General features: G+C 47.3%; 3 annotated features.

The window, feature by feature from the left end:
• Positions 662–1,310: an enhancer, noted in NCBI's record as "OCT4-NANOG-H3K27ac-H3K4me1 hESC enhancer chr4:153949611-153950259 (GRCh37/hg19 assembly coordinates)". NCBI's record gives its function as "activates a minimal SCP1, AML or CMV promoter by ChIP-STARR-seq in primed H9 embryonic stem cells {active_cell/tissue: H9 hESC(primed)}" and the evidence as "EXISTENCE:reporter gene assay evidence [ECO:0000049][PMID:30033119]".
• Positions 5,611–6,152: an enhancer, noted in NCBI's record as "H3K4me1 hESC enhancer chr4:153944769-153945310 (GRCh37/hg19 assembly coordinates)". NCBI's record gives its function as "activates a minimal SCP1, AML or CMV promoter by ChIP-STARR-seq in primed H9 embryonic stem cells {active_cell/tissue: H9 hESC(primed)}" and the evidence as "EXISTENCE:reporter gene assay evidence [ECO:0000049][PMID:30033119]".
• Positions 7,799–8,594: an enhancer, noted in NCBI's record as "H3K4me1 hESC enhancer chr4:153942327-153943122 (GRCh37/hg19 assembly coordinates)". NCBI's record gives its function as "activates a minimal SCP1, AML or CMV promoter by ChIP-STARR-seq in primed H9 embryonic stem cells {active_cell/tissue: H9 hESC(primed)}" and the evidence as "EXISTENCE:reporter gene assay evidence [ECO:0000049][PMID:30033119]".

Below are 15,651 nucleotides of genomic sequence, written 5' to 3'. Positions count from 1 at the left end.
CCTCCAAATATGTTGAAATGTGACCTCCAACGTTGGAGGTGGGCATAGTGGGAGTTGTTTGGGTTATAGGGGCAGATCCCTCTTGAAGGGATTGGTGCCCTCCTCGAGGTAGTGATTGAGTTCTCTCTCTATGACTTCATGTGAGGTCTGGTTGTAAAAGAGTGTGATACCTCCCTGCTCTCACTCCTGCTCCCTCTCTCACCATATGACATGCCTGCTTCCCCTTTGCCTTCTGCCATGGTTGTAAGATTCCTGAGGCCCTCACCAGAGGCAGATGCTGGCACTATGTTTCATGTACAGCCTGTGAAACCATGAGCCAAATAAACCTCTTTTCTTTATAAGTTACCCAGCTTCAGGGATTCCTCTACAGGAACAGACTAACACGGAAAATTGGTACCAAGGAGTGGGGTGTTGCTATAAAGAGACCTGAAAATGTGAGAGCAGCTTTGGAGCTGGGTAATGGGCTGAGGTTGGAAGAGTTTGGAGGGCTCAGAAGACAGGAAGATGAGGGAAAGTTTGGCACTTCTTAGAGACTTGTTAAGTGGCTGGGACCAAAATGCTGATAGAAATATGGGCAGCGAAAGCCAGGCTGATGAGGTTTTGGAAGGAAATGAGGTAGTTATTGGGAACTAGAGCTAAGGTCACCTATGTTATACCTTAGCAAAGAACTTGGCTATGTGTGTCCATGTCCTAGGGATCTGTGGAAGGCTGAACTTAAGAGTGAAGACCTAGGGCATCTGGTGGAGGGAATTTCTAAGCAGAAAAGCATTCAAGAAGTGGCGTGGCTGCTTCTAACAACCTGTGATCAGATACAGGAGCAAACGAATGATTAAAGTTTGGAATTTATATTTAAAAAGAAAGCAGAGCTTAAAAGTTTGGAAAATTCAAAACAGGCCATGTGATAGAGAAGGAAAGAGCATTTCGGGGTGAGAAACACAAGTGGGCTGTGGAGTAATCACTTCCTAGAGAGATTTGCATGACTAAAAGGGAGCTAAGTGCTAATAGCCAAGACAATGAGGAAAAGGCTTCAAAGGCATTTCAGAAGTCTTTGGGACAGCCCCTCCCATCACAGGCCCAGAAGGAAGAATGGTTTCTGTGGCCAGGCCCAGGGTCCCACTTCCTTGTGCAGCCTCAGGACACAGCTCCCTGCATCCTCACTGCTACAGCTCCAGTCATGGCTCAAAGGGCCCCTGGTACAACTCAAGCCACAACTTCAGAGGACACAAGCCATAAGTGGCAGCTACCACACACTGTTAAGCCTGCAGGTGCACAGAATGCAAGAGTGAAGGAGGCTTGGCAGCTTCCACCTAGATTTAAGAGGACACATGAGAAAGCCTGGGTGCCCAGGCAGAAGACTGCCACACTGCCACGCCCCTGCAGACAGCCTCTACTAGAGCAATGCCAAGGGAAAATGTGGGGTTGGAGACCCCACACAGCTGGGGGCTCTTGCACCCTGAGCCTGGAAGAGCCACAGGAACTCAACTCCAACCCATGAGAGCACCCACAGGGGCTTCACCCTGCAAATAAACAGGGACAGAGCTGCCAGGCCTTGTGAGCCCACCCCTTACATCAGTGTGCCCTAGATGTGGAACATGGAGTCAAGGATTTTGTTGAAGCTTTAAAGTTTAACGTCTGCCCTGCTGGATTTTGGTCTTGTGTGGAGCCTGTTTCCCCTTTCTTTTGGCTGACTTCTCCCTTTTGGAACAGAAATGCTTACCCAATGCCTGTGCCACCATTGTATCTTTGAAGTAAATAACTTGTTTTGATCCTACAAGCTCTTACAGGCTTAAAGGAACATGCCTTGAATCTCAGATGAGAGTCAGAACTTTCGACATGGGACTTTTGATCTGATGCTGAAACAAGTTAAGACTTTCGGGAACTCTTGAGGAAGGCTGATGGTTTTGCAACGTGAGAAGGACATGAGATTTGGGGGCCAGGGGTGGAATGATATTGTTTGGATGTTTGTGCTCTCCAAATGTCATGTTGAAATGTAATCCCCAATGTTGGAGGCGGGGCCTGGTGGGAGGTGCATGGGTGATTGGGGCAGATCCCTCATGAATGGCTTGGTGCTGTCCTTGAGGTAATGAGTGAGTTCTCCCTCTGTGAGTTCACACAAAATCTGCTTGCTTAAAAGAATCTGGAACTTATTCCTCTCTCTCTTGCTCCTGCTCTTGCCGTGTGGTATGCTGGTCCTCCTTCACATTCTGCCATGACTGGAAGCTTTGTGGGGCCCTCACCAGAAGCAGATGCCAGCACTATGCTTCCTGTACAGTCTGCAGAACCATGAGCCAAAATAGATCTCTTTTCTTTAGAAATTACTCAGCCTCAGGTGTTTCTTTCTTTACAGCAGCACAAATGGACCAACACTGTGTGTGTGTGTGTGTGTGTGGTGTGAGTGTATTTGTGTGTGTCTGTGTGTATATATGTGTGTCTGGTGCACGTGTGTGTATGTGCATATGTGTGTGTGGTATGTGTATGTGTATATGATGTGTGTATGTGTGTGCATATGTGTATGTGTCTGTGTATGTGTGTATATGTGTTTTGTGTGCGTATGTGTATGTATGTGTATGTATATGTGTATGTAGCTGTGTCTGGTGTGTTTACGTGTGTATGTATGTGGTGTACACGTGTGTGTATATGTGTGTGTATATGTGTGCATGTGTGTTGTGTGTATGTGTGTTGTGTGTGATGTGTGTATGTGTGTGGTGTGTATGTGTGTGGTGTGTTTGTATGTGTAGTGTAGGTGTATGTGTGTGTGCACGTGTGTGTAAGTGTGGTGTGTATACGTGTGTATATGTGTGTATGTGTGTATGTGTGTGTATATGTGTGGTGCATGTGTGTGTGTGTGAAAGAGAGACTCAGAGGCTGGCAGAGATGATATCCTGGCTCCCTTTGTGGCCTTCTCCGACAGTAGCCCGCTGAGGGTGCTGAGGAGCCTCGTTACAGCCTCATGAGAGTACAGGCCTAGGCTCCCCACCTGCCTCTGCTAGCCTGGGTTTGGGTGTGGTCATGGGTTTTGGCTGGCCTAGGGTGATTATTGTCTACAAGTTTTCCGTCTTGTTTTGCTACCCCTTTCCTGGGCTTCTGGCTGGAGAGAGGAGGTTTTTGTTGGGGCTTTTCTGGTCTGTGCCCATTGATATTTCCAGGTTGCCTGCTTCTTCAGCTCCAAGTCTGGAATATACGGGACAAAAAATGAACCCAGGAACTTACCACTGTGTGACTCCTTGGGTCCTGCGGTTCCTAGCCAATCTGGCACCTTCTGTTCACCTTTCAGAGTTTTCTTATGTTTGTTTCACACAGAATGTCCAGAGTTTTTAGCTGTACATAGTGGGAGGAATATGGAATTTTGTCTAATCTATCTTCCCAAAGGAGAAGACTCATTAATAATTTGTTAAGAGTGTGAAGACTTTAGCTGGGCACAGTGGCATGCACCTGTAGTCCCAGCTACTCAAGGGGCTCAGGTGGGAAGATTGTTGAGCCCAGGAGTTCCCGGCTGCAGTCAGCTGTGATCACATTGCTGCGCTCCAGCCTGTCTCTTAAAAAATAAAAGTGTGAAGAGTCTTGAGTTTGAGAACCTCTGCTCTAAAGGATACAAAGTGCAGTAAGTCACAAATTCTTGCTCTTGGGTTTATAATCTTGCTGTGAATGTGACATATTAGAAGTTTTTAATATTTAGCACTTTATGTTAAATGATATATTTTTTAAATAAAATAAGCAATATCCAATTATAAATGGTCCCAACAATCTCTCTCTTTCTGGTTACATTATTATTTTACAGGCTTGCATTTCTGTTTTCTACCCAGCATACCACACTGTAACATACCACCCTGTAATGACAGGATTAGCAACAATTCGTATTTGCATAGCCTGTGACACTTTACAAAGTGCTGCCATGTTCATTATGATATTTGATCTTTACCACAGCCATATAAGGTCAGCAGAACAAGTATCATGATTACCAGGGCTGACATTCTCCTGGCACACACCAGTACATTTGTACTGGCTGCTAAAATAACAAGATGCTTCTGTAAAAGCTGCCACCCTGAGCCCCAGGCACCCCCTGCCACTCTGTACTGCCATCTCCTCATGACACTGCAGCTAAAAGGTTAATACAAGGCCCAAACAGGGACCTCAGCCAGTATCAGATCTTACTGGGTGGTGCCCGTGCTGCTACTGTTGGTCACATGTTTGGACTCTCACCTCTTAGCCTTCTGCTCATGAGACACTGAGGCTTCAAGAATAAGTGACCTGCTGATGGTCTCCAATCAGAGTTTTCAGGAATCAAAGGCCCTAATCTTTTAAATTACATTTTATTTTTTTGAGACAGACTCTCACTCTGTCACCCAGGCTGGAGTGTAGTGGCACAATTACAGCTCGCTGCAGTCTTGACCTCCCAAGCTCAAGTGATCCTCCCACCTCAGCTTCCCCAAGTGTGTGCCACCACACCCAGCTAATTTTTGTAATTTTGTAGAGATGAGATTTTGCCTTGTTACCCAGGCTGGTCTCAAACTCCTGGGTTCAGGCGATCCTCCTGCCTTGGCCTCCCAAAGTGCTAGGATTACAGGTGTAAGCCATCTTGCCTGGCCCCCTGATCTTTTCCTGAACCAAGGAGTAGAATGACAGCACAGTTGCAGCCCCTCCAAGCCTCCGCCCGTGTTCATTTTTCCTGCCTCTGTGCCTTGGCACCTGCTGTTTCCCCAAATGACCTGGAGCACCCACCCATGGAGCCTTCTCCTGGAACCTGAGCCCACGCCACTCTTCCCCCTCTAAACTTCCCTTCAGAACACCTCACCGAGCACTGCATACATCAACTTTACTTAGGGGGTGCGCTGGGGAGGGGGCTCCATAGTGAATCACACATGTAACTTTTCTATTTTCCCCCAAAGATCATATGCTTCTTGAGGAGAAGGACCATGTCTTAAAATCCCAAATCATGCCAATGTGGTGCACATAATGGGTTCTCCAAAACCCATAAAAAATACTCACTGGTGGCAGGTTATCAGATGCAGAGCACAGGATGTCTCGGGCAGGAAAACGCAATCACACAACAGTTTCTGCTCTCTTTTTTCTCTTGTTGGTTTTCCACCCACATAAAGTTTCATACACATGTACACACTCGTGAAACAAGATCTGCATGACTCCAAATTTATTCCTCCGGCGCCCTTGAACATTTAAGGAAAGGCTTTCATTTGACAGTTATATGATTGGTGTGTGCTCACTCCCCATACAATTTCTTTGAGTATAAATATTTTAAAAAGAATAAAGAGGAATGGCATAACTCTGACGAGTTAATGGGAAAGGGAGTTTCTAAGTGGAGCCCTTCACTCTGACTGAGAGTATCTGGTTGGAAAGTCACTGGGACAATAAGCCACCTGGCTGCACAGCGTCAAGGGCTCTGACTGGCACTACCATGTCCGCCAAGGGCTCTCCCGGGACAACAGAACCATCTTCAGAAAACATCACTTGAAATCCTCTCCATCTATGGTGGCAGACGGTGTGGGATGACCCTGATGAAATGAGATGGTTTCTAATTTCTGAGACCTGACAGCCTGAGATAACGCGGACCACAGCCGCGGCTGGGAAGATCTGCGGGGACACGCTCCAGATGGAAGAATTTGTCTGGGCCTGATGCAGCTGCATACAGAAACTGGGGATCTTCAGGGGGGTTCCTCGAGCTCACTGCTCCTCTGGAGCCTCTTTCTATTCTGCAGCAGGGGCTGCTCTTTTAAGAGTCTTTGGAGGAATAAACCATTTCCATCCTACTTGATCCGGAAGCTAGCTGTTGGTGGCTGGTGGTGCACTTTGACCCGCAGTTTGCTTCTCTCTTGAGAAAGACACTGTGAGAAGGTGGACAGGAAAGTGAGACGATTAAAAATGACAAAGACGGGAGAAAGGGGGAAGAGGAGGCTGTGAGAAACGGAAGTGAGCAAGAGTTGCCCAGCCAGCACAGAGGAGTCCTGGGCCTGCGGGGACATGCAGGCACCTGGAGGTGCAGACAGGATGGCTCAGAGGTGCTCTGTGGGTCCAGCACCTACAGGTTTGCTTTTCAGGACTGGAGGCAAGAAAACAACCTGAAGCATAAAACTTGCTGTCCCTTTGCTGATGTCAGAATGGAGAAGTTGTAGGTGTGAGCATATGTGCTCTGTGGCAGGGCAGAGACAACAAGAGCTGCAGGAGTGCCAGCCCTGAGGGGCCCAGGGTCTTCAGGCCACCTCTCATCGACAAGCCTTGTGGCTGGTGCCTTCTCTCTCTGCATTTCTCTCTCCCCCTCCCCACCCCCACACGCAGAATGCCATGCCACATACCCCCTTTCCTCTGTGCTCCACTCTTGCCTGAAGGTCTCAGATGAGGCACTCCACTAAATTTAAAAACTCATCTCAAAGGCTCTGCCCAGGTAATCTATGTCTTAACAGGCATTTTAAAGACAGGGCCACACCCCTAGCAACACCAGCCCTTGAAGCAGCCAGCAGTGGAAGCAGCCTGGGTTTAGTGCCCCTAGACCCCACCCTGAGGGCCTGCACCTGACCCTCACTCGTATGCTCGGGGTTCTGGTCTTTGCTCTTTTCCTGGAGACTTCAGTTATGAGAATTTGCTTTTATGGAAGTGTGTTTTTTTGTTTTGTTTGTTTGTTTTTTGAGACAGAGTCTCTCTCTGTCGCCCAGGCTGGAGTGCAGTGGTGCGAGCTCAGCTCACTGCGACCTCTGCCTCCCCGGTTCAAGCCATTCTTGTGTCTCAGCCTCCCAAGTAGCTGGGACTACAGGCATGCACCACCACGCCTGGCTAATTTTTGTATTTTTAGCAGAGACGGGGTTTCTCCACGTTGGCCAGGCTGGCCTGGAACTCCTGACCTCAAGTGATCCACCCGCCTCAGCCTCCCAAAGTGCTGGGATTACAGGAGTGAGACTTTTACATAACTGTGATTGTGGGTGGCTCAATTGTCTAAAGAAAAACAAAACAAAACAAAATCTCATACATTTCTTCCTTTGTCAACATTTTATCCCCCAAGGGTCGGTGAGCTCTGAGGAGAGTAGCTTTCCCAGAGATAATTACATCTTTAAGAAAACTGCAGCACTGTGCCTGAATGTGCAATGCCCAGGGGTTGTTTATTTCATGGGAGCCACACCCACTGTCTCGTTATCCAGTGCACCCCACCATTCTGCTGCCCAGGAGGCACCCTGCTACCCTCCACACAGGGCAAGCACAGCAGCTGCTCGGGGTGTGAGCCATGACAGGCCCGAGTGGGAGAGCTCCCTGGAGTGGGGACCCGCTGTTCTACCTGCCCAGGTGTGGGTGGCTCAGGTGGAAAAACAATGCCGTCTTTCATGGGAGGCAGGTGGCTTTGTTTCGACATAGCATGAGAAGAGGCAGGCCAAACTGTGAGAGGCTGTTCTGGTAATGGAAGGAAATGCATTTCCAGAGGGAAGGAGCGGATCAAGTGCTGTCGACGTGCCCAGCCCTCACGCCACTTTAGGGCTGAGAGCCAGCAGGGATACTCCGGACCAGCTGAACCGCTTGTTAAAACAGTGAAATGCTTTGGTTCCGTGTGGCAAATAGCGGCTGTCTGGAGCCCTCCCGTGTCCCAGTCACCTGGACCTACCTCGTGAGGTGCCTGGACCTTCCCAAGCCCAGCTGCTGAGGATTCCTATCAGGGCCCTCCAGGAACTTTGCTCGTCCCTGATGGGTCAGGCCTGTCAATCTATCACATGATTTTTAGCAGTGCCTCCTTCATAAAGCCTCCCCACTCCCCACCCAAATCCGAATTCATTGCTCCTCAAGAAGTCAGATAGCATGTTGCTTACACACTGGGCCTTCACCACATCCTTTCATGTTATTTATATGCGGTGTGGCTATTTACTTTCACATCTGTCTCCCTCTTTAGAGAATGCACTGTTCCCAGGACCCTTGTGCCGTTCGCCACAGCACCTAGCACAGACTAAATGCCACATAAGTGTTTGAGATACTGGTTTGAATTAGGAGTGGCCTGGAGGTGGGAAAGCAGGATGAGAACGAAGCCCCACTGGGACAAGCGACGTGTCCGTGTGTGCGTGTGTGCACATGGCGGTGGTGAGCAGGCATTTCTGCCATCTCTGCCCATCTGAATGTAGGGAATGAAGATGAGTGCTGGTTGGAAGTGGGGAAGCCATGAAGCAGAGCAGCTTGGGCTAAGGGTGGCCACGCTGCAGCCACGACAGGCCTCCCCGGGGCTCTGGCTCTCATCACATCAGGCTCTTTGGCTCTATTCAAACAGAGGCTGCCGGCTGGAACTTTAGCTTCTCACTGGGACTCTGAAAGAATGTGAGTCTATGCAGTTATCCCCAAGGCACTTGGCTGGAAGAGACCCCGGAAGGTTTCTAATTCAGTCTTTTCCCTGACAAATGGATAAAGCAACCTAACACTGAGCTCTCTTCCCATGGCCTCCTGATGGTGATACTGTCCACAGAGCAGGGATGCCGCAGAACCCAAGCGGAACGTGTGGGTCTGCCCTGAGGGGGCTTCCCAGAGCCCTGCTCTGGCTCTGCTGTGCCCTGGCAGAGGGGCCTGGGCTGGAGCTCAAGCAGGGCAAGGACTGTGGATCCAGATCCGGGTTTTGGGGAGTCCAAATCTTACCCAGTTGGGGGGAGCATTTTTTAAGAGAAAGCATACAAAATTGCAAACACAAAATGAAGTACAGGGCTTTGGAAGGAGCCTGCACAAGGAAGGATCCGAATCTTACACTTCACAAGCTTCACAATAAACTAACCTCTGGGGCAACCTAATGAGCTAGGAGGGTGTGTTGGTTTCCTGCCTATTAGCTGCTGTGCCACAGTACTGCAAATCGGATGGATTAAAACAGAGGAAATATATTTTCCCACAGTTCCAGAGGCTTCGAGACTTAGGTCAAGGTGCTGGCAGGGCCATGCCGCCTCTGAAAGCCACAGGGGAGTCCTTCCTTGACTCTTCCTAGCTTCTGCGGGCTTGCTGGCAGTCTTTGGGGTTTCTAGGCTTGCAGCCTCGTCACTCCAGTCTTTGCCTTCGTCCTCCCGCCATGTTCTCCCTGTGTGTCTGTGTTCACGTGGCTGTGTACATATAAGGACACCAGTCATCTAGGATTAGGGGCTCCCCCTACTCCAGTATGACTCCATCTAACTGACCACATCGGCAACAACCCTCTTTCCAAATGAGGTCACATTCTGAGGAATTGGGGTAAGAGCTTCTCTATTTCAACATATCTCTAGTTTGGGGATGGAGCACACAATTCAAACCATAACAGGTGCAGGAGGAGAGTGGGGAAGGAGGGGAGTGGGGCAGTAGTGAAGCGGTAGAAGCTGGGGGATCATTCTGGAGACAGGGTTGGGAGGTCACCAGTGGCTGTTCCACTAGGCTCTCTGGGTGAGGACAGCTTCCATCCCTTCCTGGGGCCACCTGGAGGACACAGAATCTCAGCAGACACCCTGCCAGCCGGCGCTGCTGCTTCATCTTTACTCCCACAGACTCGCAGCATCACATTGCTGATCCCAAGGAACCTTGGTGATTTCCCTTGGAAGCCTTACGCATCCCGGTGAAGGCAGGCCCATGCGTGTGGGTGGAGCATGTGCTGGAGTGAGGTCCACTGAAGCTCTGGTCCCCAGCAATTGAGAGTTCACAGCCTGGTGAAACACCAGGAATGAAGATCTGCCAACAAAACCACGTGTCGAAGCTTCCGGAGCCACAGAGCCATGAAGGTCAACTCCAAAATACTCACCACGCTCAGTGAAAGGGCGGATAAACAGGTGGTTAAAGCAGCAGGTAATTTTGGCTGGTCTGCATCACTGTTTATGGTTTTATTTCCTCTAAGAGATTTGCCCTCTTAATTATGTTTTGCTTAATCTCAAAAATGAATTTACGTTCCCTGAGCAGCCTGCAGCACAGGGGTGGGAGAAGCCCAAAGTGTTCTGGGTGGCAGGGAGAAGCCAGATGGTATTAAAAACAGACAGATCATAACAAAGTGGGTGCTCCACATGCATTCAGTAAACACAGCCGGCCCAGCAAGGTCAACCATGGGCTGGTCTGGTTGCTTCAACATTCTAATTAACTGGGTGCCAGAGACGCCGTGCCATTTTCAGAGAATCAAGTTCCAGTGAAATACACCCAAGGTTAAAGTGCTCCAGAACACGGCCCACCCGTGCTGGTTTGTCGACACCTCAGAATCCAGCAGGGGCCCAGGGACATCGCCCTGCGTGTAAATTACCCATGGATACAGTGCTGCACTTGTGAGCCATGTGGGGGACTGGCTACATCCTGCTGGCCCTGTGATATAACATAGAAGCTGCCTCTTAGTCACACCAGTCGATGATAGGAACAACAGGCTTTGGGGTCGTTTGGATTCTAGATTAAAAAGCAAGGTTAAAATGGAGAGTTGATTGCATTTGTATTTGAGGTCATGGAACAGAGCGCACTGGTTGACCAGTTGTGTTAAGAGCATGTTTGAGCTTGCCAAGCAGGGAAAGGCAGGCTCTGTGTGACCCAGCCCCACCCCCACCCACACGCAGGAGAAGAAGAAGGACAGCCTCTCTGCCCCTTGGATGGTGCCATTTAAGGCTCTTCTGTGACTCTTTAGTTGGCTTTTGTGCCACCCTGCTGTGGGCTCATGGGCTTTCACTCAAAGAATCAAAACCTCCGTCCCCTCTGCCTTTTAGTCCCCCAGACCTTAAGTCTCACTTTTCTGTAGGGTGACAGTTCTCCTTCTCCCACACTTGTGCTCAGCAGCCATCTTTCAGAAAGCAGGGCTGCCCTTCAGAGTCCACTGCCCACAGCAACCTCCTGACAGTCCTGCTCTCAGCTCCAGCCCCAGGAGACCCACAAAACAGCAGCTCACAGATATGCACAGTCTGCCGCCTTAAAAGCATGAAACAGGTTGTGGCCCATGGGAAAGCTTTTTTTGCAGCTGTCACCAAGCTGGCATGAGATGAGTGCTTGCAGTATGGTGGCTGAAAGCTGTTTAGTGTTGTCTGCTTTGTGTATGTCACCTAACTGTGGCCTTGCATTTATTCTACTTGGTGACTGCCAAAGCACTGCAAACTGGAAACATCTGCTAGATAATTGATATGTGATCAATAGGGACCATGTCTATGTTTGCTCTCATTCTAACCCCCAGTGACTGGCATAGTGCCCCGCACAGAGGAGGCCCTTTTAGTTAAATGAATAAAAGAGTAAATGAACAAATGACATCGAAATGAGAGGCATGGCGATCAGAACAGAAAAAACCCAGGTGAACCAAAGAAACTGGGCAAGGCTCCATGAAGGAGTGTGATCCTGTTTGGCTCTGCATCCCCACCCAAATCTCACCTAGAATTGTAATCTTCACGTGTCAAGGGAGGACCTGGTGGGAGGTGATTGGATCATGGGGGCGGTTTCCCCCGTGGTGTTCTCCTGATAGTAAGTTCTCATGAGATCTGATGGTTTTAAAAGTGTAGTACCTCCCCCCTACCTCCTACTGCCATGTAAGATGTGTCTTGCTTCCCTTTTGGCTTCCGCCATGATTGTAAATTTCCTGAGACCTCTCCAGCCATGTGGAACTGTGAGTCAACTAAACCTCTTTCCTTTATAAATGACTCAGTCTCAGGTAGTTCTTTATAGCAGTGTGAAAATGGACTAATACAGAGTAAGACCTGGGCTGGGCAACTGAGACTAGTGGGATTTAACCCAGAAATGAGACGGAGAAACCAGAGCCATTTCTGTCAAATATCTTCCAGGGAGAAAAAGGCCTGTGCCACTAGGGATGTTGGGGGCTCAGTTAGTTAACAACCCTCCTTCCCTAGTCTCAGGGTGGTTATTTCTCCATGGGACCAAGCTAGATCCTGACATGGAAGCTTTAGGAATTCGAGATCATACAGCACAGCCAGCTGGTAGAGGCCAACAAGAGGCAAGGAAGGCAAAGAGATATAATCGTCCAGTGGGGGACTCTGTCACTAAGGTATTGGTAGTTAACTAGTCATCTGTGCTACCAGAGTCCAAAAGATGCCTCCACTCCAGACCCCAAGAGCAATAGTGGGTGCAAGCAATGAGTGTGAATTCATGTTGTGCTTAGGCAATGGGGCCCTGAGTGGCTGTGCTCTACGCTCTGGAGGAGAAGGATTAAGGAAAGTCTACATCATCCTCCTCCTTAGTACCCTGGACTCTTAACCACTTGCACTGACAGGTTTTCCACTCGGGCTTCTTGGATTTCCCCTAAGGAAATTTTTCAACAGCACCACCTACTCCCAGTGTCCCATTTTGGTTCTCACACAGGCTCATCCATTCACACATACTTATCCAGCACCTGCCACGTGCAAAGCTCTCTCCCAGGAACGGGCATGGTGCAAACCAGGCAGGGTCCCTGCCTTCATAGAACTTACAGTCTACAGCAAGGAAAACAGAGAACAAAGAAGGAGAGGGAAGGAAAGAAGGAAGGAGAGAAAAGGAAGGAAGGAAGGAAGGAAGAGGATGGGAAGGAAGGAGGAAGGGAGGGAGGGAGGGAGGGATTAATTGCTGGTGTTTGCTGGTATGAAAGGCACAATAAAGAACATCAGCCAGGACAGCATGACAGAGCATGTAATAACGTGCGTGGCAACTTTAGATACGGTGGTTGGTAAAAGAAGGTAGCGCTGAAGAAGTGACATTTGAACTGAAAGCCATAGGTAAAGAAAACTCATGCCAAACGTCAATAAAGAAAGATAGGGAATAAAGTTTTGAAATTATCCCAATTAGACACTGAGATGTATTGTTATTAACAACAACTAACCAAAGCGGCTTAACTAAGTTAGAGGCTTATTTCTCTCACATAAAATAAATATATAAGTAAGCAGCCCTGAACTAGTACAGCAGCTCATCAGGGTCCTAGCTCTGTCTAGCCTTCTGTTTCACTCTTTCTAGTACCTGGCTTCAAGCTTTACATTCACATCATGGCTCAATATAACTGCTAGAGCTCCAGCCATCACATCTGTATTTCGGGCAGAAAGAAGACAAACGGTAAGGAGAAACGAGGTCACTGCCCAGTTATGTGTCTTCCTTTGAGGGAATTTCCCTGAAAATTCCATCCAGTGAATTCTCATTTACATATCTTTAACCAGAACTTAGTCTCATGGCCACAACAAGAGGCAAGGAAGGCAGAGAGATATAATCTTCTAGCGGGGCACTCTGTCACTAAGATATTGGTAGCTAACTAGTCACCAGAGTCTAAAAGATGTCTCCACACCAGACCCCAAGAGCATGAGCTTCCGTTGACAGCACTGATGGGATAGAATTTAAAATAGGCCCCTTCCCCACAGGTGGGACTGAGGATCTAAATCAGAACTCAGAGGTGGGCTGCTCCCCCACCCTACAGAGCCCACCTTCAACCTTCCTGAGTTCATCTCCCTGTATTAACCTCATTTGGACACATGCTGTTCTTTCCCCCGAAGAACAGAGAATGAGTTGGGTTTTTTTTAAGTGCTTGTAGTAGATTTAATAGTGACCACTCAAAGATGTCAAGTCCTTATCCCTAAAACTGGTCAATGTTATCTTATTTGAAAAGGGGGTCTGTGCAGATGTGGTTAAATTAGGGATTTTGAGATGAGATTACCCTGGATTATGCAAGTAGGTCCTAAATGCCCTCACAAGTGTCCCAATAAGACAGAAACAAAGGGAGTTTTGAGAAACAAACAGAAAAGAAAAGGAGGTAACGTGGCACGGAGGTAGAGATTAGAATGATACAGCCACAAGCCAGGGAACACCTGGGGCCACTAGAAGCTGGAAGAAACAGGAAACATATCTTCCCCAGAGCCTTCAGTGGGAGCAAGCCCTGCCAGCACCTGGATTTCAGACTTCTGACTTCCAGAATTGTGAGAGAATACATTTCTGTCGTTTTAAGCCACCCAACTTTTGGTACTGTGCTTCAACAGCTCAAGTAAACTAATCTGGTAGTATGCCAGCCTGGGGAAATACTAACTTAGAGGTACATCTTCTACTATAGACTGGTGGGTTAAATTTTTCAAATAAAAAAAAATAAATCACAGAAAAACTGGTAGACAATGGAACATATATCAGATTTGTGAGAATATAACAAAAAATAAAAGAAATCTCTAAGAAAAAAGGTACAAATGTAGACATAAAATTATAAACTTCTATAAGAAAAATGATGAAAATATTTGAAGAATATGTGACAAGACTATAAAACTGGAGTATATGAAGAATGCATTCAAGTTTGTGAGCAAAACAGCTAGATCCTAACATAGAGACAGAAGTATATGAGTGGTTGTCACAATGGGAAATTCAGTGAATGAGCACAGGACATCATAATAAAAATAGTTGCTTTTCATTGTGTCAGATTCCATGGTAGACTCTTCAAAAACACCATCTCAAATCGCTACACAAATCCTGCAAGGCAGATGTCCTCCCCATTTTATAGTTGAGTAAACTGAGGCCCAGGAGTATGAACAAGGCCTAGGGAAATGGAAGTTGAACCTAAGCCTGAGAAAATAATTTTCATTGCAGATAATCATTCATTGATTTATTAAATATTTCCATTCTACTCTGCAGAAATGGGCACTGTGGTAGAATTGGGGATGTTAAAATTGATAAGATGCCTCTCTTTTCCTTGGAGACCTGAATGTAAGGGAGCAGGTAGAAAAGTGAGCTCTCAAAGACAACAGTGAGAACATGAGAGAACCAAAGCTGCACACTTGGAGATGCCCATTTGCATCCAGACTGATTTTCAACGGTAACATCCAACAACAACCCCGGTTTCGGAGAGCAATTTTGCAATTCATAGCAGAAGCCACAAAGATATGCATACCCTTTGACCTAGTAATTCACCCCTGGAATTTTATCTTAATAAAATAATTCAAAAGAAATAAAAAAATCCTATGACACCATATGTTTATTGTAACATTGAAAAAAATCACAATAAGAAGCTGAGAAGAGGCAAGAGGCATTTTGAGACATCCTAGGACAAAAGCTTGGGCATGTGAGACTGATTGATAAACAGGAGGAAAGGCAGTTCAGAAGGGCTGGTCAAGCTATTCTGTGACCCAGTGCCTTGGTGCCCTGATTCCCCTGGACTTGCCCATTGCTTCTGCCTGAGTCACAGATTTAGCCTGTCCTGATCTCAGCATGTGTCTCTGTGAGCAGCCTCAATTCTGGCCTAGTCTGTGCACACAGCCAAGATGGCCAACATGAGGGACATATGTTTTAACAGATTAGGGAAGATAAACATGATGAACTATCATTCAGCCATTTCAAAAGACATAATCAGGAAGGTTCTCTTGAAACATGGAAAAATGTTTCACAGCAGAGACAGCCTAGATGACCATAAGGGGAAGGACTTAATGGATTGAGGTGAATCAACACAATGGAACATTATGGCAGCTATTTTTTAAAAGGTAATTATGAAGACCATGTAGGGAGGTGGAAAAAATGTTTGCTATTGTAATAAGTAAAAATTGCTGAATACAGAATTATATAGGAACAGACTGTAAAAGGCTTGTCTACTTCTCAAATCTTCCATCATGTTATACAACTTTTATCATCATAAAAATGGAATGTATACAAATAGAAAGTGGCATGCCAAAGTTTCTGAGTTAGGGTGGAGTAAGTGAATGGAAACTGTAATTTTTCATTAGCATTATTTCAATATTTTTTCAGTAAAATGAACAAAGCATTGAAAAGACAATTCAT

The sequence above is a fragment of the Homo sapiens genome, chromosome 4, assembly GCF_000001405.40.
Source record: "Homo sapiens chromosome 4, GRCh38.p14 Primary Assembly".
Taxonomy (NCBI): Eukaryota; Metazoa; Chordata; class Mammalia; order Primates; family Hominidae; genus Homo; species Homo sapiens.
This window is presented reverse-complemented; position numbering and strand designations above follow the sequence as displayed.